This window comes from Homo sapiens, chromosome 18 (genome assembly GCF_000001405.40).
Source record: "Homo sapiens chromosome 18, GRCh38.p14 Primary Assembly".
Lineage (NCBI taxonomy): Eukaryota > Metazoa > Chordata > Mammalia > Primates > Hominidae > Homo > Homo sapiens.
The window spans coordinates 59,139,777-59,164,483 of NC_000018.10; the positions used below are offsets into that span (position 1 = coordinate 59,139,777).

General features: G+C 43.0%; 1 protein-coding gene across 3 annotated transcripts, besides 4 other annotated features; it reads left to right on the forward strand.

Moving 5' to 3' along the window:
* Positions 8–147: a silencer, noted in NCBI's record as "silent region_9491". NCBI's record gives its function as "represses an Ori minimal core promoter by ATAC-STARR-seq in GM12878 lymphoblastoid cells {active_cell/tissue: GM12878}" and the evidence as "EXISTENCE:reporter gene assay evidence [ECO:0000049][PMID:35858748]".
* SEC11C (SEC11 homolog C, signal peptidase complex subunit) lies at positions 108–19,056 on the forward strand. Of its 3 annotated transcripts, XM_011526260.4 has the most exons (7): positions 108–259; positions 8,289–8,455; positions 9,737–9,846; positions 12,760–12,909; positions 15,912–16,031; positions 17,832–17,889; positions 18,856–19,056. In XM_011526260.4, the coding sequence occupies exons 2-7, from the start codon at positions 8,378–8,380 to the stop codon at positions 18,907–18,909; spliced, it is 570 nt and encodes a 189-aa protein (XP_011524562.1). In that variant the 5' UTR covers positions 108–259; positions 8,289–8,377; the 3' UTR covers positions 18,910–19,056. The 3 variants fall into 3 exon arrangements, with proteins under 3 accessions (XP_011524562.1, NP_150596.1, NP_001294870.1); NM_033280.4 differs by lacking the exon at positions 8,289–8,455; NM_001307941.2 differs by lacking the exons at positions 8,289–8,455; positions 17,832–17,889.
* Positions 1,883–1,932: an enhancer, noted in NCBI's record as "active region_13410". NCBI's record gives its function as "activates an Ori minimal core promoter by ATAC-STARR-seq in GM12878 lymphoblastoid cells {active_cell/tissue: GM12878}" and the evidence as "EXISTENCE:reporter gene assay evidence [ECO:0000049][PMID:35858748]".
* Positions 2,751–2,850: an enhancer, noted in NCBI's record as "active region_13411". NCBI's record gives its function as "activates an Ori minimal core promoter by ATAC-STARR-seq in GM12878 lymphoblastoid cells {active_cell/tissue: GM12878}" and the evidence as "EXISTENCE:reporter gene assay evidence [ECO:0000049][PMID:35858748]".
* Positions 4,767–4,816: an enhancer, noted in NCBI's record as "active region_13412". NCBI's record gives its function as "activates an Ori minimal core promoter by ATAC-STARR-seq in GM12878 lymphoblastoid cells {active_cell/tissue: GM12878}" and the evidence as "EXISTENCE:reporter gene assay evidence [ECO:0000049][PMID:35858748]".
* Positions 19,057–24,707: the final 5,651 nt, after the last annotated feature.

The window sequence follows — 24,707 nt, forward strand, 5'->3', positions numbered from 1 at the left end:
CCTGGCTGGCCAGTGCCCAAGACTGGCGAGACTACGATTCCCAGACGCCCAAGCGAGTCGCCGGTCACGTGGCCGCAAGGACGCTGGGCCGGTGGGCGGGGGCCGGCAGGTGCTCCGCAGCCGTCTGTGCCACCCAGAGCCGGCGGGCCGCTAGGTCCCCGGAGACCCTGCTATGGTGCGTGCGGGCGCCGTGGGGGCTCATCTCCCCGCGTCCGGCTTGGATATCTTCGGGGACCTGAAGAAGATGAACAAGCGCCAGGTGACGGAGGAGGGTGGTGAGCGCGCCGTGGCCGGGACCGCCTGTGCTAGCGGGGAGTCGGGGCTTCCCAGTCAGGGCTCCGGCTCCCAGTGAATGCGGCCGGGCGGCCACCCGAAGCTCCCGCGCTGGGCTCTCAGGCCCTGGGTTCTACGCCTACGTGTGGGCATGGGTGTGCACTTCCTTGCCCTGACAAGAGCACAATTAGGGGAGGGTGCAGGAAAGGGGAGAATAGAAACCCCGTGCCATGGAATGTCAAATGTGGTTGAGAATGCCACAGCCACGCTTGTGGGAGAGATGACTCGGTGAACGACAGCTCTCTGAGCGTATTTGAAGGGCCACCCGGTGAAGAGGGAACCGATTTCTCTGTGGGGCTTCAGAGGCCTGACTGCCGGCAGGTGGAAGAGGCAGAAAGGCAGGCGAGAGGGAAGAACTTTCCTACAACGGGAGCTGTCCAGCGATGCCTCCCAAAGCAGTTTCTTCCCAGCCTGGGCAGTTGTTTTTCCCCTGACCGTGGGTCGGGACTAAATAATGCTCCTTGTGCCTAGAGAGCTCACAAGCTGTGCGCAATCATTGTGGACTCAACCAGTGTTCCCAGCGAGATTCCAGAAGCCTTCTCTAACTTCTGAGATGGCTGCACTCTGAATATAGGAGGCAGTGTAGGGTCTTTGGGCAGCTGGGGTGGTTGAATTCCCTCTCCTTTGTGAGAGGACCTCAGAGGAAAACGTTCCTCTTGCTCTCTTTTTAGCCACTTATTGGCCATCATCACTGTCTTTGGGGCCTTATCTCTTCACTATAAGGTTAAGAGTGAGTAGGGATTGGAAAGGAAGCCCTCTCAGTCAGGAAAAATACGACTATGTAGGCTTCTAGGTAGAGAATTTGGGGGACCTGTAGGACCTGAATATCACGGTGGATACTAATGCCACTATTGCTACTAATAAATTGTGCTAAGAAAAATGGGACCTTCCAACCAGGGAGTTTTGATTGTCTTTGAAAATGGTATTAATCCTCATTATTTTGATGGCATCCAGTTTCATTTGCTCCATCATGTTGAGATGTGGGGTGGTGCCCATGGGAGGTCACAGCTTACTCCTTTAGGCATACGTGTTTTTCCCCTCTCACTCTCCTCCCCCTTCCCCAAGTAGAATTTCAGACTAGTGCAGTAGTGTGGGAAAGTTTGATAATTTCTATTTCATCAACCGTGTTTAGGATGTGGTAGTGTCTAGGTGTGCAAAGCTGATGACTCCTGTTTCTGGAAGATGAGTTGTAGTAGAGATTATCACCAGCTTAAAAAAGTAACTGCTAATGTCCTGAGCATTGATGCTGTTCACAAGAATATCCTCCAGGAAGCAGAGCTTTGTTTAAAAATCTAGACTTAATGGCTGGGTTTTTAAAGTGTCTCTAAAATTGGTACTGATTACTGATGGCTATAATTGCAGACTGTCAGAAAAGGCCCTCTGATGAGTGTATTGATCCCTAAACCAGTTTGCCCTTTGAAAGATCAGTGTGTTTTTGCTCTCAGCGATAAGGCCTGCCAGTAGCTGGCTGTATTGCCTGTTTTGCTAGTCTTCTAATTAAAATTCAGCAAGCTCAAATCTACTGCTTCTTGGTACTTTTTAAAAAAGCTTTGTCTTTTTTTTTTTTTCTCTTCTTCCCTCCAAAATAGCATCTTATGACACTTTGTCAGGCCTGCATGCTCCACCAGTCTTGAAAGCAGGACCTTCTTTCTCTGCTGCCCCTGCTTACTATTAAAGCAGGACCCACATGCAACACAAGGGCTCTTTGTTTCTGCAGTGAGGAAGAGAGGAAGAAATACAGCTACTGGCAGTGCTGCTGCTGTCAGCCAGAATATTTGATCTGAAATGTTTGCTTAAAACTCTTAGACATTGGCTGTTTCATCATTGGTTGACAATGACTGAGTATGGACTTAGTTCTACACTCTGCTGTGAGCATTAAGTGCTGAGCATACAAAGTTGGTAGGCAAAGGTGAACAACAACAAAAGCACCTGTGAAACATGGTGGTGGTTTTTTTTTTCCAGACCGCAGTCAGCTTGTCAGTAGTTCAATCAAAATTACTTTTCTGGATTCCAGGATTTTATGCCTAGAATCTGATTCGTAGGTTTCTTAAAGTTAAGGTGTTAAAAGTGTGATCTGTGGTTTCTTAGTTTGATTTTTATATTTTTGTGTATTTGGACATTTCCTTAGCAGGTAGATGGCTTGCTCAAAGGAAGTTTTTTTGAGGAATTGATTTTGCTTTCCCTTAATGAACTTTTCAAGCATGGGAAATTATACTGGAAAATATATTCTTGGTACAAGTTCTTTACTGGCTAAGTGGCAAGATTTTATCGGGGTGGAGCCAGATGACTTGAAAACTTGTCTGAAAACGGCAATCGTTGTTTAAAACCATGGTTTGGGGCTTTCCTCATCAGATCTGTAATTCATAATGAAACAGCGGTTATTTATCAAATCCTTTAAGTCAGGCAGAGCCGGTGGGGAGGTTTTTGAATGTAAATTCCAGTGAACAGCTTCTGCTTTAGAGTGACGTGACTTGTAAGGCTGATTTTACTTTAGAAGCAGTGTTTTGTTGTTGTTGTTGGAATCTCAATATTTATTGAATGAAGACATGAATGTTTTATCTCTTCTAACGGCTCACTTCTTTGCATTCTTAAGTATTTGCTTTGTGATCTTTGATTTTTTCCGTTATGCTCTTTGAGCTTATGGTGAAATGGTGTAAAGGCTTTGATTGTTTCATGGCAACTTTCTGGTAAATATTCTTCATTTGATGAGGGATAAAAGACTACATATTGGGTACAGTGTACACTGCTCCGGTGACAGCTGCACTAAAATCTTAGAAATCACCACTAAAGAACTTAATCCATGGAACCAGAAGAAGCAATGGTTTAACATATTATAGCCCAACACTTTGTCAATGTCTGCTTAGCACTCCAGTTTCCTTTTTCACTCTCCTGGGAATATAGTGATAGTTTCATAATTTGCTATTGACACAGTAGCCAAGTCGCTTTTAAAAATGGTGTGTAGGCTGAGTGCAGTGGCTCACGCTTGTAATCCTAGCACTTTGGGAGGCCGAGGCGGGCAGATCATTTGAGGTCAGGAGTTCAAAACCAGCCTGGCCAACATGGTGAAGCCCCGTCTCTACTAAAAATATAAAAATTAGCCGGGTGTGGTGGTGCACACCTGTTATCCCAGCTACTCGGCAGGCTGAGGCAGGAGAATCACTTGAGCCAAGGAGGCGGAGGTTGTAGTGAGCAGAGATCGCGCCATTGCACTCCAGTTTGGGCAACAGAGTGAGACTCCATTTCAAAAAAAAAAAAAAAAAAAAAAAGTGTGTAACTTTAATGTTGAATTATATTTATTTTCCTATTTTGATTTATTGCACCAAAATACATTAACAATTATCTTAATTCATTTATGTCCTCACTTTCAGTTGTATCCTTCATTATTGCCTCAAATTACCTATTTTTACAGTTTTAACATTAGCAAGAGACAGTTCTGAGCTCTGCTTTTCCTACATCAGTCAGAGTTTGTTTTCAGAATAGAGAATAGTTTAAAGAAGAAAAGTCAATGACTCATAATTTCACTATCCTAAAATAGCCTCTCTTAGCGTCTTGGGGCATCTCTTTGTATTTGTTTTATCGTTTGGTGAGATCCTACTGCAGCTTACATTTTTCACTCAACATACTGTGTTTGGTCATGTCATTAAAGTTCCTTTTTATTTTCCTCCCCCAACCCAACCCGCTTTCTCCTCCACTCCCATTAAGTTCTTTATGCATTGTTTTAAATAGTGGAGTAATCTGCCATTTTCTTTTTTTTTTTTTTGAGATGGAGTCTTGCTCTGTCACCCAGGCTGGAGTGCAGTGGTGCAATCTCGGCTCATTGCAACCTCCGCCTCCCGGGTTCAAGCGATTCTTGTGCCTCAGCCTCCCGAGTAGCTGGGATTACAGGCACATGCACCACCATGCCTGGCTAATTTTTGCATCTTTAGTAGAGATCGGGTTTCACCATGTTGGCCAGGCTGGTCTTGAACTCCTGAGCTCAGGTTATCCGCCCACCTCGGCCTCTCAAAGTGCTGGGATTACAGGCATGAGCCACACTGCACCTGGCCCCACTTTCTACTCAGTTATTTCCATATTGTTGCTCATTTATTTCCTTTTCCACATTATTAGAATTAAGACTGTAATAAATGTCTTCGGGCCATAATTCTCAACCTGCCTTTAGTTTATACTGAATTCCTAGAAGTAGGATTATGGGCCAAGAGTAACCTCTTAATACTAATGCCAAATAGCTTTCAGAATGGTTTATCAATTTGTATCCCCATCACAGTGTATTCTTGCTAGCACTAAGTATTAGTATTAACAACAACAATAAAAAAACCAGACACTTTAAATTTCTTAGGCAAAGGCTAGGTGTGGTGGCTTACGCCTATAGTCCCAGCACTTTGGGAGGATTGCTTGAGGCTAGTATGTTCAAGACCAGCCTGAGCAACATAAAAAGACCCCATTTCTACCAAAGAAAAAAATTTAGAACTACCCAGGCATGCCAGCACATGCCTGTAGTCCAGCCACTTGGGAGGCTGAGGTGGGAGGATCCATTGAGCCCAGGAGTTTGAGGCTGTGGTGAGCTATGGTTGCACCACTGCACTCTAGCCTAGGCCACAGACTGAAACCTTGTATCTTAAAAAAAAAAAAAAAAAAAAAAAGTTGCTAGAAACAAAAAAAAAGGAAGGGGTTGCAAGGAGGGTAGAGGCAGGATTATTGGTTTGAACATTTTTTATGTTTATTTACTACTTGTATTTTCCTTTGGAAAATTATAGTTTTAAGCTTTTACCTTTTTCTGTTGGAATTTTAGTGTTTTTCTTATTGCTGATTTGTTTGCACTCACCATTAAAGATGTTTATTTTATCACTATTTATTCAACAAATTGAATACTTAACTTTTGCCAAACCCATGTTGAATCTTGAGGATACAGCTATGAGCAAGGCTGAAATGATCCCTACTTTTGTGGAATGTAAGGTCTAATGCAAAAGACACATTAGGTAATTATATGCTTAATTATGATGCTGATGAACGATACAAAGAAATACAGGATGCAGTGAGAATATATAATAGGAAGACCTAGGCTGGCCAGAGTGGAGATTGGCAAACCCCATTGCACCACCTGTTTTTGTAAAGTTTTATTGGCACACGGCCATGCTCTTTCTTTTACATATTGTCTATGGCTGCTTTCCCGCTACATTGGCAGGGCTGAGTAGTTTCAATGAGACTATGTGACCCGTAAACATAAAATATTTACTGTCTAGCCCTTTACACAAAAATTTGCTGATTTCTGGTCTAGCCAGTCAGGGCAGGGTTCTGTTGGACACTGACATTTAAAGGTGGATGTAAAGGTGAGTGTTTGGTAAACTAAGGGGTTCAGGGAGGGAGCCTTCTGGGTAAAGGCCCTGGGGTGGAAAGAAGCATGTGAGGTGGAAGCATGGACAGATACCACCAGTGCAGCTGGGGTGAGGCGAGCTTCACAGGCTGAAGCGGGGCTGCAGGGTTATATCAGACAGGGCCTTAGAGGCCATATTGTAGTTTAGTCTTCATCCTCAGAGTAGTGGGATGCAATCAAAGGGCTTTAGGCAGGGCATAGACAACCAGGTGACCAGATGTGCATTTGAAAACCAGTACAGTCAAGCACCATATAATGATGTTTCCATCAATGGTGGACTGCATACATGATGGTGGTCCCAAAAAATTATACCATATTTTTACTGTGCCTTTTCTATGTTTAGTTACATAAATACTTACCAGTGTGTTACAGTCGCCTGCAGTATTCAGTACAGTAGCATGCTGCACAGGTTTCTAGCCTAGGAGCAATAGGCTACATCGTATAGCTTAGGGGTATAGTAAGCGACACCATCTGGGTTTGTATAAGTACACTCTATGATGTTCAAACAACAATAAAATCACCTAACAACGCATTTTTCAGAATGTGTCTGTCATGAAGTGGCGCATGACCGCCCAGAGTGTATCACAGAGAATGGATCAGAAGAGGTGTGCATGGGCATTAGGAGACCTGTCATGAGGCTTCACAGCAGCCTGATGGGCCCCGTTGGTGATATGATGAGAGTGGCAGCAGTGGGAATAGAGAGACCTGGACAAACTCCAGACGTGTTTGGAAAGCCAGAATGTATAGAATGAATGGGTAGGGGGTGGCTCCAAACAGCAGGGTGATAATAATGTCATTTACTGAGAGAAGGATCCCTAATACTGAAAGCTTTTGGAGAAGGTAAGTTTAATTTTGACATGTTGAGGATGGGGTATCTTTAAAGACATCTAAGTGGAAACATCAGGTAGGCAGTTGGAAGTCTCTGAATTGGGAGTAGTTAGCCTGATGGGACCAATGCCAGCATTCAGGTAGAGGAGGAGATTCAGGTAGAGGAGGAGCAACTGGCAGGAAGACAAGAAAGTGGTGAGAAGTGGATGGCATGCCATCCTGGAAGGCAGGGGCTGAGGGTTCGAAGAAATGATCATGTGTGTTGAGAGCTGCTGGAAGGTCAGGTAAGGTGAGGGCCGACAGTTATCCTTTGGATTTAGTGAGCATGTGACTGACTATGTAGGTTGAGGACTGAATATAGATGGTGAAGAAGGGGAGCAACTTGGGGTAGACACTGTTTTGAGAAGAGCTGTGAAGGAGAAGAGAGTGTGAAAGCTGGAGGAGGATGTGAGGTGGAGGAAGGGTTTGCGATGGGAGAGTCTTTAGCTGATGGGAGGAGGAGGTATAGAGCCGTGATTCAACTTTCACTGCACCTCAGAATCACCCCACCCCTCCCAGTGATCCAGCTGGTCTGGGATGGACTTTCCAGGGCTTCCCCGATGATTCTGAGGTGCAGCCAAGGTTGAGAACCAATGGTATAGAGCAGTGGTTCTCAGCTGTGATTCCCACTCCAGCAGCTTTCGTGTCACCTGGGAATGTGTCTGAAGTGCAGTCCTCAGGCATCGCCAGCTGATCCTAGTGCACGCTGATGCTTGCGCTGCTGCTGTAAAGAACTGTCCGGACACTGAGAAGTCAGAACCACGTAGAACCACCTGGCAAAGTCTCCATTTGGACTTCCCGAGTGTCTTTCACTCCGACTTTTCCAGGCCTTGTGTATTTTAAACTGTATTTAAACTGTGTTTAAAACTGTATTTTAAGTTGTACTCAATGCTCAAAAAGAGTTCATACCACCACATTCCATCTCAGTTAATATTAAATTTGGATAGTTGAGGAAAATGATGTTGCCCAGAGCCACGTGATCCAGGTCCTCACTCCAAACTCAATTCAAAAGTATGTTCTGGAAAGCTGGTAGGGAGCTAAGGTGGGATCTAACCTGTCTAACATCACTGCCTCCAAAACACTAAAACTATATTAATAGCAAGGAGAGTTTAGAAGTTATCAGTTACTCCAGGATACGCCCGGGAAAAGGAAACAAGATCAGCCAAATACTAGAAGCTGGAAAACAGATGGAAGAATGGGAACTGGCACAGCCAGAGAAAGCCAGGATGTGAGCGGCACTGGGGGAGGCTGTGGCTCTTCAGGTTTGTGAGGCAGAGAGAGTCCTCAGAGACCCAGGAATTGGTGTCCCCAGAACTGAAGGTGAAGGGGACCGTAGGGCTGAAATCAGTTTGATTGGGTAGAAAAGCAGAGAAGCAGTGAGACCCCTCGCTCTCCTTGTCTTCCACCCAGAGGCCTCACCCTCCTCAGCAGAGGTCTGGGAGTTCATTCCCTGGAGAGGGGAACAGAAATCTCTGGAGGAAAAGCTGCCAGGCCTGGTGGGGGTTATGGCTCCCACCCTATAAGTGACTGTGCACACTGCATGCTGAGGGTATAAAAACAGAAGTGAGGGGTGAAGGACCTCAGATGTACACAGAACACGGTCCTCAGGTGTACACAGAAGTGAGCACAGATGCCAGGAGAATAGGCACCTGTGGCCCGGTGGAAGGGGGTCATTGAAGCAGAGACCCACGTGGGGATAGAGCCATTTTGGTTCTAGGGTGTGTTGCTGAGAGTGAGTGGTCCCAGTGGAGGGAAGATCTTTGGAGATGTGGATGGGGGCCCAGGAATTGAGACAGCACAGTGTTGATGGACCACCCACCTGGCTCTGCAGATCACCCCAACAACTGCAGGATTGTGAAGAGGAAGATTGAGGCAGGTACCAAAGTAAGGAGCCTCCCTGGAGGGCGGTGCTGGCAATGCCGTGAGGGGCTTTGATTTTGAGTGGTGCTAGCCACAGCAGCGTTAGTCCCTCTTGCGCCTGGAAGGAAGGCGGATGTTTGGGCTGACAGGTCAGCTCCAGCCTGACAAGGTGTTGGCACATGGGCAGGTGTTGTTTTCTCCTTTAGTCACCAGGAGTTGGCAGGTGCAGCAGGCAGCTGTCAGCAAGGAAGAGCCTGTGCTTCAGCCCATGCCATGCTGCAGGGAGCGAGGCAAGCCCAGTGGGTCTAAACGCAGTGGTCTGAGGTAGATCGGGTGGGCTTTCACCTCCTTCTCAGAGCTGATGTAACTAGTGCTTATGCATCAACTCGTGTGACCCTCCCACCTGTGCTCCTTTTTTTTTTTTGAGACGGAGTCTCGCTGTGTCGCCCAGGCTGGAGTGCAGTCGTGCAGTCACGGCTCACTGCAAGCTCTGCCTCCCGGGTTCACGCCATTCTCCTGCCTCCGGCTCCCAAGTAGCTGGGACTACAGGCGCCCACCGCCACGCCCGGCTAATTTTCTTTTGTATTTTTTAGTAGAGACGGGGTTTCACCGGTAGCCAGAATGGTCTTGATCTCCTAACCTTGTGATCCACCCGCCTCGGCCTCCCAAAGTGCTGGGATTACAGGCGTGAGCCACTGTGCCCAGCCCCACCTGTGCTCTTAACCAAATATTTGTTATTTACCTTTTAAAACATTTATGAAAAATTTAAACCTCCAGGTGTTTAGAGTTTCTGTTCACTGGTTTTAAAATGTCATTTTTAGAACAGGATGGCCTCATTGCCAAGCACTATAGGACTCCAAAGCTTCCATTTGAGGCTAAAGGTAGTTCTAGGTGAATCCACAGTGTGTGGATCTGGGTTAGACCTGTGCTCCCCATGCTGCGCTGTGTCTGGGACTGGTCTGCATCGGGAGGCTCTGGTGGCAGGCCTTGAGTAGTGGAACTCTCTAGGGTATAAGGTGCTGGGAAATCCCAAAGAGGTGATTAGGGCCTCCTTGAGGCTTTAACAAGACAAACCTCACAGATTGCTCTTTTTTTCCTCCCTTCTCTCTCACTTAAGGAGAGATGATATTTGCAAGTCTCTTTCCAGGGACAGAAGTTGAAATACTGCAGAATTTTGTACCTTGTGTTAGTTTCCTGTCCTAAAATCATGTCTTTGAAAAAGTTTGATAACTGCATCTCCAGCTTCACAGGTTGGTGGATCTTCTGCTATTGGTTTTCATCGTGGTTTCCTCTTTTTCATTCCAGCTCTATTACCAGGTTTTAAACTTCGCCATGATCGTGTCTTCTGCACTCATGATATGGAAAGGCTTGATCGTGCTCACAGGCAGTGAGAGCCCCATCGTGGTGGTGCTGAGGTAGGTCCCCCAGGCTGGCCTCCAGCCTCCAACCTCCATCACAAGGCTGCCTTGGGCCTGAGGAGCGGGGCAGCCTTAAGTGAAAACCTGCGTGACAGCTAAAATTCAAGATTTTAATTGGATAAATTATTAGTCTTTATTGATATCTATTTTGAAAATGTTTCGTTTTTTTTCTGGCTTTTGAAAAATCTCATCTTTCTTAGTAGACATTTTAGAGCTTTAACCATGTTGATGCTCGTGTACCTAATCCATTTCAAATGACAATTTAATAATATGTGGTATTCCTGCATTATTTCTATACAAATTGATTTTTAAACATAACTAAAAATGTTACTTCATTTTCTTTGTACCAAACAGGCAGAGAGAGCCTGTATCCCCAGTGCGTAGCATTGTGTCTAGTATTTTTTTCAAGCTTCTTCAGTAATACTCGTGTATTGATGGCTACTATCTTCTTGAGACTATGATGCTTATAAAAGTACAGCATGTTTATTTTAGAAAAGTTAACATTAGAGTTAACTTCACACAGCCATAAAGCCATCCAAGGGGAAAAACTTAACATCAATTTGAAATCAAATGGCCGTGTTTGGGAACTGATAGGTGCTTCAAGACGCTGTCGGTCCAGTGTGTCTTAGGTCATCAAATCTGTTGTTTTCAAGGTGGCATGGTAGGCTGTGGCAGTAACTCGGGCGGAGTCACAGCCTACCAGTGCAGGAGTTGAGGCTAGAACACAGGGCTCTTAGCTCCCAAACCAGTGCCCTTTCCCTCCACCAGGCGTTGCCACCACCTCGTGGGGCCATAGCCATGATCCATGCCTCACCAGGCCGCCCTCATGTGGTTGGCCAAGGGGCACACTTCTAGAGATCGCGTTTTCATGAATTTAGAAGCCTGAGGACAGCCTAGCTCACAGCAGAGCTGTGGGACCTCCGACCCACTCGTGTTCACACTGTGCTTTGGGGACGCCCCTGGGGTTGGGGTGGGTAGATTAGGAGTGGGGAGAAGGGAAGCACACTCATGGATTCAGGAAGCCTTAGCCTTGCTTCACATGCAACAGCACCACCTTCATGTCTTTTATGTGGTTATACTTCCTGGTAAGATTTCATGTGAAGGAAGGATTTTAAGGCTTTTTTTTTTTTAAAGAAGAAGAAATTTAAAACCTCAAATTTAGATGGACCCTCTCCCTTAACAGATAAGAAACCTGAGGCCCAATGAGGCCAAGCCTCAAGCATCTCCCAGTAACTTTTGGCAGAGCCAACATTAGATCTGAGATTTCCTGGCCCTCCTCAAATCTCACAGACACACTTGCACACAGAAGGTAGTGTGAAATTGCTGCACTTAGGGACTTTTTTTTTTTTAAAGCATCCTTTGTAATGTTAAAGCAATTTGGTTTGTCAACATAAACCAATGACATCCCTAAGGGATGTGTGGTTTTTGGGGGAATCTGGCCCATGAGGAAAGCAAGTAGACATTGATATTAGTGAAACATTGAAAAGAACTCCTCTCCTGATAGGACATGATAATGACCCTTGATGTCCAACTTCAGGACACCTGTGGCCTCTGCAGTCTGTGCAGGGATCTTTTCCTAGCTGCAGTTCCCTTAACCGTTACTTTTCTATCAACATCTTCCCACTGTATCTTCAGGAATTTTGTTGAAGGAGTAAGGATGAAGCCACAGATGAAATTATCTTAAGCATTTTAGCTTTTTTTTTTTTTTTAACACTGAAACAATTATGTTTTATTTCAGAGAAGACAAAATAGAATTTCATATTGTGGGGAGGAAAAACTCAATTGTTTTGACTGTGATGTTTTCTCTTAAGTCAGTTGTATTTCTAGCCCTTTTCCCCCATCATTCAGATTGGCTGATTTTGAATGCTTCATCCATGTCCATACTTAGTGGCACTGGTTTCACTTAAACGTAAACCTATCAGAAGGTACTTAGTGACAGGCTGCATTTCTCCCTGCCACCTTCTGCACCTGCTGAGATGTTCAAGGTGGGCCAGGCTGGAGGGGAAGGAGGGCCAGCTTCCCGAACTCCTGTTGGGAGGCATGGTTTTCTTTGTTTCCACTAGAGCACCACGGAGCTTCAGTGGTTCATTCTCCTCAGGTTCTTCCTGCTCAGCAGCCATTACTCATCCTTGGTTGCACAGCCCCCGTCAAGCTGTATTTCTAGGTCTTATTTTCTCACGTATTAAAACAAAGCATGAGCAAATACATATAATGAATTTTTAAAATTTCAGCTTCCAGCATATCGCAATTTACTTTGAATCCGCCAAAGATTTTGGCACAGGTTTAAATCGGTATCATGTGGAATTATTTATTGACTTCCACAATAACCCAGTCAATGTTTGTTAGAATTGGGCTTTTGTAGAATATGGTGGAAAAGATGCTGGTGCAGGAGGCAAAAGACTTGGGTTCCGGTTTTGTCCCAGCCCTCAGTTTGGCATCAGGGCGGGTCCTGCTCCCCAAGTGCATCCATGTGTTCCTCATTTCTTAAGTAAGTATTGCAGTATCCTAAGTGCTGGAGGCCTGCTCTAAAGTGAAGGGATTGCCCTAGATGATTAACTAGCTGTCAGCCTGCAGTTCTGGAGGAAAACACTACTATATTTGTAGATGCAGGACTTTTTTTAAAGCTAAAAATTGGTAGCTTTTACTTCAGAGTTGACAATTATCCTGGTTTCTTTTCTACCTGATACAAACTGCAGAGGGTCCTGTCAGTGCTCATGACATGTTAATCTCAGTAGAAGTCATTTCCTTTCGCACATGTTACCACCTTGAGCAGTTAAGAAGGAAGCCACATTGGCTCGTTTTATAGCTCCTGAGACCTACTTGACTATTGAGTTTCACCTCTGACATGTCTATTCTGATCGCCTTTTGGACACAGGGTAATGCTGATACTGACTTTGTGCTTCTTTCCAGTGGCAGTATGGAGCCGGCCTTTCACAGAGGAGACCTCCTGTTCCTCACAAATTTCCGGGAAGACCCAATCAGAGCTGGTGAAATAGTTGTTTTTAAAGTTGAAGGACGAGACATTCCAATAGTTCACAGAGTAATCAAAGTTCATGAAAAGTAAAGAGGCTTTATTTCCTTTTGGTTTTGTTATGTAAATTTTTGGTAGATTCATGGCTAATTAGAAACTAGTAAAAGCACTGGATTATGTTCTGAGTTCTGCCATTGACTCACTGGGTGACTTTGGACCAAATGCTTAACTCTTTCTGTAGGATGGGAGTTGTAGTAGTTAAACCCATAGTAACTCACAAAGTGATTATGAGAATTAAATGAACTAATGTTTACTAAAGCAATTCATAAACTTAAATTGCTGCACAAATATAAGGTATGATGTATTATGACATGTTAGTTATTTGAAGGAGCTCAAAGAAAATCAAGTCACATTGCAACAGAGGATGGTTTTGATATGAAAATTATTTTCTGAAATGCAAAAAAAGCTAGCTGTTTTTCTATGTTACTTGGGCCAAAGTGGCATTTTCAGCAGTAATATTAGTCCTGGATGGATAAAAATTCATTTTCCAACTCATCTCATGATTTGGCCGTTGCATATTCTGCATTACTTTTCCACCGCCCCATCCCCTACTCCCCAAACAGCCTTGCTGTTAATACCAGCTGTGACTTACTTATGAAGACCCTTTTCTGGAACCGGAAACATTTACTTCTTGCTCAAATATATAAAGTTGCCATGAGAGAGTACTTCACATGATTAGTAAAAATGTTACATTTCATATACTTGGTTATTCATTTACCTTTATGCAGCTTAGTGTGGATTTTTATCTGTGTGAGTCATAGAATTAAATTTAGGTATGCATAGGTATGTTTTTAAATAATGGAGCATTTCTCACTGTGTATGTGTGTGTGTGTGTTTGAGTTTGAGAGAGAGCGGTAACTACTTGTACATATCTGGTATTAGATTCCCATTCCATTCACTGCTTCTTTTTTTGAGATGGAGTCTCACGCTGTCACCTACGCTGGAGTGCCATGGTGCGATCTCTGCTCACTGCAACTTCCGCCTCCCGGGTTCAAGCGATTCTTCTGCCCCAGCCTCTCGAGTAGCTGGGACTACAAGCATGCACCATCATGCCTGGCTAATTTTTTTTTTTTTTTTTGAGGCTCTGTCTCCTAGGCTGGAGTGCAATGGCATGATCTCAGCTCACTGCAGCCTCCACCTCCTGGGTTCAAGCAATTCTCCTCCCTCAGCCTCTCAAGTAGCTGGAATTACAGGCATGTGCCACCACACCCGGCTAATTTTTGTATTTTTAGTAGAGATGGGGTTTCACCATGTTGGCCAGGCTGATCTCGAACTCCTGACCTCAGGTGATCCATCCGCCTTGGCCTCCCAAAGTGCTAGGATTACAGGTGTGAGCAACTGTGCCCGGCCCATTTACTGCTTCTTCACAGGTGTACCCCACAGATATTGATACTTATTCACTTCACATTACTCTAAACATGAGAACAATCCAGTTTCAACCTGTGGTGATACACTGGTCCTGTACTAACGGTTACTTGATGCCTACCTGTTAGATTCCTGAGGAAGAAGCATCCTCAGTCATGATGTGACAGTACTCGCACTGACTTACAATTAATTTCTAAAGATGATCAATTGTTCCAAGTTGAGGAAGTGTTGATTATTTGCTCTAATTTGCATGAATTATGAGAGACTGTCAGGATTTTTATCCCGATTTCCTTTATAACCGTGGCTGCAAATCAGCTTGCTCTTTTTGATATGGTTTCAAATCTTTGGGGGCTTTTGGCATTTTATCTCATTATAATAGTGCATTCTTTTTTCATCTGTCTTACTGAAAGAAGACCCTCTTTACAGCTCCATAATACTACAATATTATGTTTCTAGAGTCAAGGCTATCTGAGTACCAGTTTAGAATGCTTAAAATGAGTCCCACATGTCTCTTTAACACACTGGTGTTATGCCATTTGTGATTCTTGTTTCCTTGCAAATTTGACTTTATACTACCGTGGTCAGTGGTGAAGGAAATAATGCAGTAACAAATTCTGCATTTGGCAAGGAAAAGGAAATCTGAGGACAGCCTAGAGCACACTTGGATTTAAATTACTTTGTGCTCAAATCTGTGTGATCTAGGATCAAGTTTATGTCTAGAGTGAAGAGGAATAGCATCCATGTTAACAAATTGGTCTATGAGGCTGGGCGCGGTGGCTTATGCCTGTAATCCCAGCACTTTGGGAGGCCAAGGCGGGTGGATCACTTGAGGTCAGGAGTTCTAGACCAGCCTGGCCAACGTGGTGAAACCCCATCTCTACTAAAAATACAAAAATTACCTCGGTGTGGTGGCTGACACCTGTAATCCCAGCTACTCAGAGACGGAGGCAGGATAATCGCTTGAACCTGGGAGGCAGAGGTTGCAGTGAGCTGAGATCGCACCAAGGCACTCCAGCTTGGGTGACAGAGCAAGACTCCATCTCAAACAAACAAACAAATAAATAAACAAAAAACCAAATTGTTCCATGAGGCCTAAGAATGAAAACAGTTCAAGTCCAACACAGGTTGTTAAACCAGCTTCATGACCTGACTTCTGACCTATTCTGACTTGAGGTGAATGAAGTGAGTCTGGAAAAGCTCCTTGTCAGCAGCGTTTTTGTGTGTTATGAATCTGGACTTGAAAGAATTGCACAGAGGTGATTCACATGATTTTGCCCACTGATGAATGACACTAATACACTTGTTTACAGGTTAAAAAATGTCAGGTCCTAGTTTATTCGTCATTCCCAGAAGCCATGTGGTAAGAAGGAATTCTTCATTGTGTGCTGTGCTGGAAGCAAATTGTTGCCCTTGTGCTTGGTCATGCTTTTTGTTGTCAAGGATACTTGAGTGTTTTGGAATTTAAGTCTACAAAACTGTCATTAGATTTGTGCTTCAGTTGAATGGTTGTCTTAAGCAGTCATCTTAGACTAAAGGAAGGTCAGGTTATCTTTGACTGTTTTTCTAAATGCTCCTGTCTGACAGTAAAGTCTTGAGTAAACTAATATTTTTGTTAATGATGCTGTGCTGAAAATAATTTTTGAGAAGACATTATTTTGCTTTCCAGAGATAATGGAGACATCAAATTTCTGACTAAAGGAGATAATAATGAAGTTGATGATAGAGGCTTGTACAAAGAAGGCCAGAACTGGCTGGAAAAGAAGGACGTGGTGGGAAGAGCAAGAGGGTGAGGATTCACCTTTAAGTTATATAGAAGGTTATGAAAAACACTTAGAAATGAAGAAATTAAATCAATAGGCTAATGAGTCGTTAATTACAAATATGACATATCAGGAGAGTTTTAAGCAGTTCTAGTTTATCCTGTGAAGACTAAATACAACTTAGAAATTCCTAAAGACCTAAAATCTAAAACTGAACCCAATTATATTATCTATATGATGGGTTCAAATCTGTTTCAAAATAAATCCAGCCAGGCGCAGTGGCTCACACCTGTAATCCCAGCACCTTTGGGAGGCTGAGGCAGGAGGATCACTTGAGCCCAGGAGTTCCAGACCAGCCTGAGTAACATAGGGATACCCCATCTCTATTAATAAAAATTTTAAAAAATTTGTTCTAAAAAAAGAAGAAATATAAATCCTCACTGAGAGATTAGTTATTTGTGGATTTTAAATAACCATTACAAGAAAGTCTCCCAGAGATAACCACTGTTTAACATTTCAGGGAATGCTGTAGGTACTCTCTGGGCTGGTACAGATGTGTGTTATGCATATATATAATTTTACTTAGAATTTGATTATTTTTCACCCAACAGGAAGTTGGAAATAGCTTTTCGTGTCAAATCTACATCTGTATCTTTTTAAGTGGCTACAAGCTGTTTTATTGCGAATAATTATTTATTTAACCAATCCCCTTTTGGTGGACACTTAGATTATTTCCTGTTTTTCGCAACTAAAAACATTTCTGTGATACATCTTTTAGTATTCATCTTTGTATAGTTGTCCAGCAATGAGTTCTGCTTCTGATTGACATAACAGAGAATGTATCCTCATTAAAAACCAAACAAGGGAATTCTTCCCCTCTCTTGGCAACCCTTTTTATGTTTAACAGCCATTAGAAATGTTTTTTTATCTTACCTAAATCTCACTAGCTTTTTAAGGCTGGAGAGACTGGCTCCCATTTTGTCAGGTTTAGCGTTATTAGTCAGATTGTGGCTTACAGCTTCTTCCTCCTCCTTTAACCATTTTTCTTTGTTGCATTTTCACTTGAACATCTCCGGGGGGACCAGGAGGGCTTCCAGTTAGTCCATCCTGTCTTTCCAGACACTCTGGTGAAAGGCTTTGGATAAGAGAGAGGATGGAACTACTGATTTATAAAAGACTGGAGGGTACCTATGGGTGTGTTACCTTGTTTCCCATGAGCAGAGATGATTGAGACCTGGGTCCATCTGATTACATATTGCTGTTGATTTTGTGAGCATAATCGTTGGCTGGTTTATGCACTGAACCTCCTTGCTCTGGGATCATAATCATATTTGAGTATAAGTTATGGTATTCACATTTGTATTTGCTACCCAATACATTTATTTGTTATATCTGACAAGCACTGGGAAATGAAAATAATTATTTGCATTACAAACTCATTATTCATGTACTTTGAAAGCTTTATCTAACAGCAGTTTTTATATGGGCTATCTGAATCTTATCTTCTAAATAAAAACTAGATTTGTGAAAGTTGCCTATTCTTTTTGTACAAGCGGCTTAACTATTTTAATTGTAGCAAGTGAAGACAACCAGCATCACTATCTCAACCCAAGTGCCTACTTAGAAAACTTGTCCTGGCTGCCAGTGCTGATGCTCCTTACTAATAAAGCTGTTTGAGACAGGGCTGAATACATCCTTACAGCCCTGGTCAGTGGCATTCCCTCGTACAATTCATTTCTTAAGACTGATCTATAGTGTTTTCAGATGTTGCCATCATCATGTTATAAGCAGCTTTTATATCTCTTGCTTTTTATCCCACAATTTAGGTTTTTACCATATGTTGGTATGGTCACCATAATAATGAATGACTATCCAAAATTCAAGGTAGGAATTTATGTGTGTCTATATTTATTTACTTCGTTAAATATTGGAGCTTTTACTTCTGCAACTGTAAACAGGCAGTCTTCTTAAAACATGTTGCCATTAATAGGCCTGCAGAATATCTGTAGTTAACTACAAATTAATGTAGTCATTTAAAGCAGCAACACTTAAATTATTTAAAATAGCTACTTTCCCCTTGTATGTTCAGTGTTCTAAAATGGCATTTATCTAATTGTTGCTTTTTATTATGGAAATTTTCATACACACACAAAAGTAGTACCATAAACCAGTAATGCTTACCTCTCAACTTCAACAAAAATGGTATCTCTCTCTCTCTCTAAATATATACACATATATGTATATATATACACACACATATATGTATACATATGTGTATATATATATATTTTTTGGACGGAATCTGGCTCTGTTGCTCAGGCTGGAGTGCAGTGGCACAATTTCGGCTCACCACAACCTCCGCCTCCCAGGTTCAGGTGATTCTCCTGCCTCAGCCTCCCTAGTGGCTGGGATTACAGGTGCCCGCCACCACACCCAGCTCATTTCTGTATTTTTAGTAGAGACGGGGTTTTGCCATGTTGCACAGCCTGGTCTCGAACTCCTGACCTCAGGTGATCTGCCCGCCTTGGCTTCCCAAAGTGCTGGGATTACAGGCGTGTATCCATATTTTTTAAAAAAATCACTTGACAAACAATGGGAAACCTGCGTAGGAGTAAGCACTGCATTTGCTGTGTTTGTTCATTTTCTGATCTTTAGTCCATCAGTATATTTTTGGGTTTTTGACCATAATGTAGCATTGAACAGCTCATTTAGAGAACAAGCCATGGGGGGAAGAGGTAATCTTTTGATTCTGTCCTCAGCGCAGTATTTAACGGACTTCATCTGAATACATTTACAGACCAAATTTCTTTGTAGACCTCACAGTGATTTTCCATTGTGTTTTCTTTCCAGTATGCTCTTTTGGCTGTAATGGGTGCATATGTGTTACTAAAACGTGAATCCTAAAATGAGAAGCAGTTCCTGGGACCAGATTGAAATGAATTCTGTTGAAAAAGAGAAAAACTAATATATTTGAGATGTTCCATTTTCTGTATAAAAGGGAACAGTGTGGAGATGTTTTTGTCTTGTCCAAATAAAAGATTCACCAGTAAAGATGGTTTTCTTTTGTGGACTCTGATTTGAATCTGCTCAATCTCTCTGCCAATTGTGGGAGACTCTACACTGAGTCTGAGGGTCTGCACCACTTCAAGAACCAGGCAGGCTATTTAGGGCCTGGCCTGCTAGTGGGGCAAGGCATGGTCCACATGTATAGTTGTAATGTCTGAGTTTCAAAAGTAAAATTCTTAATATAATGACATTTCTGGGGGGAAACAAAGGGGCCCTTAAAAGAACACAGTTTCTTATTAAAGTGTAATCTGAGAAACTAAGAAAGTCAAAACCTTTTAGAAGGAAGGGATGTAATCTGCTTTGTTTTGTGGTATGATATATCTTGAGATAGTTTGTTAAATTATTTGAAAAGTGTTTAATTATTAAAAATGGTGCATACTCCTCTGAAAAGTTGCAAAAACTCCAGAAGGGTAAAAGTTGAAAATTGCAAAAACTACAAAAGGTCTCTTTCTTCAGTCTTCCCTTTCTACTTCCCAGGGATACCCACCATTAAATTAGATATTTGCACTATATATAGTCCTGCAGAGAAAGTAGACCCTCTTTCAAGTATTTATCAAGCACTTTTACCCAGCCACTGTCTGATGTGCTGGAGGTACAAAGTCCCAGCCCTGACGGAGCTCACACTGGAATAGGAGGAACAGATAACACACGAGCCTGTGATTTCAGGTACTGGTCATTGCTGTGAAGAAAGATAAAGCATGTTAAGCAGATAGAGGGTGACAGAGGACACTGCTTTTCAGATGGAAGTCAGAGGAGACCCCTCCAAGGAGGTGACATTAAGCAGAGTTCAAAGAAATGAGAGGGAGTGGAGCACGTAAATCCCGGGAAGCGCATTATAGCCAAGTGCAGAGGCCCCGAAAAGGGAGCGCTGTTGGCGGGCTAGAGGGTTCTCACACTTTAAGGAGTACACAGCCACCTGTCTTCTTCACTGCTGATGTGGACTCAGGAGGTTTGGGGTGAGCCTGACTACGCACTTCTAACATGCTCCCAGAGGATGCTCATGCTGCTGGTGCCCACTTTGCACAGTGAAATGTTAGAGGAGTCAAAAGGAGGCCAGTGATGTTTTAAAATGCACTCTTCAGTTTTACAAAAATGTTCTCTTTTCACCAAATACAATGATGTTGACATCCTTTCAATCAGGACTTACAAATCTACCTCATTCTTTTACGTTTGTTCAATTCTGATCTAAGAATTTAGTGGCCCTAAAAGTCACTTAACCACCGATGTGGCCTCCAGTGAGTTACTTAACTTCCCTCAGCCTCAGATGGAGGATAAGAACTGCACTTACCAAATGGGGCTGTCATGAGCAATAAGCCGCATGGTCCTTGACATGTCCACAGTATCCGCTCGGTAGACGTTCCCTATTGTTGCTCATGTTTTCCCTTTCAGTGTAAACCTGTGTCACGCCTGTATGGTTAATTTTCCTGAGTGAGCGCCTGGCTTGGTAAGGACCAGCAGGCGTGATCCGCTGGGAACAGCTTGCCCTTTAATCCTTTCTCTCTACTAAAATAGGCTATTGCAACAATAATGGACCTCATCCTGTTGAAATCAGCAAAGTGAAAGAAAAAAAGATTTACAGAATACTTTCTAAAAACATTATTCTCTTGTGCCCTTTAATACATTGTTTTCTTAAGAAAAAATGGATTTTTTTCCCCTTACCTAAAACTGGTATTTTAAAATGTTGGGTCAAAATCATATTATTTTATCATCTTCTTGGGCTTCTGTAGTTAAATTTTTAAAAAACTCTTATCATGGCTAAGCTTTTTGGTAATTCTTTGAACATGCCTAACATTCTGAAATGAGCTTTGCAAAGACACCTAAGAACCCTGACGGGGCTCAGCCAGTGCCATTGAATTGTGGATTTTAGTGACAAAGATGTCTTTTGACCTCCCTGATGCTGTTGGTCCTTATAAAATGGGAGCGATGGCAATTAATGTTGGATTGAAGTTCTTTTATCTGGGGCTCTCAGTTGTAGCCTCAGTGTCTGGAATGTATCAACACGAACCAAGGATGTGTCTGAGCAGACAAAATCAGCACTAGAACATCCAAGCTGCTTGCAGTTTATTCATCAGGTAGAACCTCTTATTGGGAGCTTCTCAGTGTTCATGTGACACATTTCTCATGTGGTTACACAACTGCTTTTCCACTTTGCAACAGCTTAGAAGCATCAGAGTAGAGGGTTTCTGGTAGACAATGGCCAGACAGGTAATACCCACTGAGGAGGAAGAATACAAACTATAAAAAACAGATGCAAGGATTTCAGGATGCTGCCTGGTGTATCCACAAAGGCGACACTGTGTTATAAGAAGACACTTAGGAAGAAGTTAAATGGCGTTTGCCATACTGCATTTGAGATCAATTTAGGTTTTCATCCAGACTGGCAAGTTTCTACTACGGGGTAGGGTGAGCTTCAGTTTTTTCAAGAGGTGAGTGGTGGAACCTCTGGTTGATTTCCTAAGCCACAGGCCTGAGTCCTGCTCTTCTACCCCTTTACCCCTTGACAATTAATATGTTAACATTATGCAAATGCTAGAAAAATAGAGCTCCTGCAGACATGCACAAACACTCCAACAACCAGACTGTGGACACTAATCCGCCTGTCTATTGAGATTTTGGACCTGCCACTGTCCCTGCAAGTCTGGGCAAATGAAGCATTGTTGGCAAGAGGAAGAAGCCTAACCTTTCTAAGTTAGCAAGGTAAGAGAATCTCTAATTTAGAGGAAGCAAACTTGGGCATCTGTTCTTTAAAAAAACCTCCCTAGGTTACTAATGTGTGGTCAGTATTGAGAACCACCGAGAAACAGACGTCTGCACACATTAGTTGAGAATAAATGTGATTAGGATGCTTGACTGTTCACATCTTCCTTCTCGGCTTCATGAAGTTATTTTCAGATTGCATAAGGAAAAAACAGAAACACACTGCATCTATGTGTCATCCTCTCACCACCATTTCCCCCACTAAGATGATGCTAACCTCTGAATGGTCACTTGAGTTCTAGGTGAGCCTTCATCTTACAAAGTAGCCTTTGGCCCAGGGCACTGGGCGATCAACTTAGTCTCATCCTGAGATTCTGGGCTGAGATCCATCCTTTACCACTTGTGTTCATCAGGTTCTCTTCATTTCTTTTCTTTTTTTTTTGAGTCAGAGTCTCGCTTTGTTGCCCAGGCTGGAGTGCAGTGGCGCGATCTTGGCTCACTGCAAGCTCCACCGCCCGGGTTCATGCCCATTCTCCTGCCTCAGCCTCCCGAGTAGCTGGGACTACAGGCACTTGCCACCATGCCCAGCTAATTTTTTATATTTTTAGTAGAGATGAGTTTTCACCGTGTTAGCCAGGATGGTCTCAATCCCCCGATCTCGTGATCCGCCCACCTTGACCTCCCAAAGTGCTGGGATTACAGGCGTGAGCCACTGCACCCGGCCAGGTTCTCTTCATTTCAAATGAGGAGTATGGGGTGGGGTAGGATAGAAGGAGGAGTTGGGAGTCACACAATGATTTAAGCCCTGCCTCAACTTACCAAACAGGGAATCTTTAACAAATTCAGACTCAGTTTCCCTATCTCCAGAATTAGCATCAGGGCAGGTCAAGAGTTTATTGGATGCCTGGATTTAATCAAACAGAGCTTTACTATTTCTTCTTCAAGGTCACTTGAGTTTGAGCACTTAGAATTAATTAAAGCCTCCCAATCCTCTTGAACACTCTTCTCTGTTGTCTGTGGTCATAAAATTCTACTCAGATTTTCTCTGAATTTTAAATCTGCCCGCCTAGATTGTTGCAGACATATCCTATGGCAGGGACATTTTTTCCCCAGGGACCTTGCTTTTAGCTGCATGAAGCTTCAGGATGGTGCAGGGGGACAGAAACCTCTTTTACACTGAGTCTTGTTTCTGCGCCAGTTCTGTGCCGGCGGGGAGCGAACGCTACCTACACACGTGCTGTGGCCAGGCCTTCTTCTGTAGGATTCCCTCTGGCCTCCCTCTGTTCTTCATTCCATCACCCAAACACTGTCTGTCATCTGCCTCTTCTCAGGTTTAATGATTTCCCTACTAGTGTTTAGCTTCTGCCATACTGCAGGATATTTTCTTTAATAGGCCTTATTTTTTAGAGCAGTTTTAGGTTCATAGCAAAATTGAATGGCAAGTATAGAGGTTTCCCATATACCTCCTACCCCTACATAGGCACAGCCTCTACTACTACTTACCACCCCACTAGAGTGATTCATTTGTTACAATCAATGAACCTACACTGATGCATCATTATCACCCAAAGTCCATAGTTAACATTGAGATCCACTCGTCGTGCTATACATTCTATGGATTGGGACAAATGTGTAATGACATCTATCCTCCATCATAGCACCATACGGAATAGAGTCATGGCCATAAAAAATTCCCTATGCTTCACCTATTCAGCCCTCCCTACCTTCAACCACCGATTATTTTTACTGTCTCCAGAGTTTTCCCTTTTCCAGTATGTCATATAGTTGGAATCATGGTATGTAGCCTTTTCAGTTAGGCTTTTTTTTTTTCCACTTAGTAATGTACATTTAAGTTTTCTCTATGTATTTTTTCTTTTTTTGTTTGAGGCAGAGTCTTGCTCTGTCACCCAGGCTGGAGTGCAGTGGCACAACCTCAGTGGTGCGGGTTTTTGTATGGACATCAGTTTTCAGACTCACTTGGGTAAATACCAAGAAACAATCCACGATTGGTGGATCATATGGTGACTGTGTCTAGTTTCGTAAGAAACGGCCACACTGTCTTCCCAAGCAGGTGTACCATTTTGCATTCCCACCAGCGATGAATCAGCTTTTGTTGCTCTACATCCTCTCCATAATTTGGTGTTCTCAGTGTTTTGGATTTTGGCCATTCTAATAGGTATGTCATGGTAGCTCATTGTTTTAATTTGCATTTCCCTAATGACATATGATGTTGAACATCTTTTCATATTTATTTGCCATCTGTATACCTTCTTTGGTGAGGTGTCTGTTCAGGTCTTTTGCCCTTTTTTTTGAGACAAAGTCTCACTCAGGCTGGAGTGCAGTGGTACCAAGTAGCTGGGATTACAGGTGCCTTCCACCACGCCCGGCTAATTTTTGTATTTTTAGTAGAGACAGGGTTTCACCATGTTGGCCAGGCTGGCCTCAAACCCCTGACCTCAAGTGATCCGCCTGCCTCGGCCTCCCCTGGGATAATAGGCCTAAGCCACCATGCCTGGCCCCATTTTTAAATAGGGTTATTTTCTTACTGTTGAGTTTTAAGAGTTCCTTGTATATTTGGAATAATAGTCCTTTTTCAGATGTGTCTTTTGCATGTATATTCTCCCAGTCTGTTGCTGGTCTCATTCTCTTAACATTGTCTTTTGCAGAGCAGAGGTTTTTAAATTTTAATGGAGTCTTGCTTACCAATTATCTCTTTAGTGGATCATACCTTTAGGGTTATATCTAAAAAGTCATCACCATGTCCAAGGTTACCTAGATTTTCTCCTGTGTTATCTTCTAGGAGTTTATAGTTTTGTGTTTTACACTTAGGACTGTGATGTATTTTGAGTTAATTTTTATAGGTGGAAGATCAGTGTCTAGATTGTTTTTGCATGTGGACGTCTAGTTCTTCCAACACCATTTGTTAAAAAGACTATCTT

Coding starts and splice junctions, on each gene's coding strand:
- SEC11C (NM_033280.4), top strand. CDS start 173: ATGGTGCGTGCGGGCGCCGTGGGGGCTCATCTCCCCGCGTCCGGCTTG. Junction 260..9,736: donor AGAAGATGAACAAGCGCCAG/GTGACGGAGGAG, acceptor TTTTCATTCCAG/CTCTATTACCAGGTTTTAAA. Junction 9,847..12,759: donor CCCATCGTGGTGGTGCTGAG/GTAGGTCCCCCA, acceptor GCTTCTTTCCAG/TGGCAGTATGGAGCCGGCCT.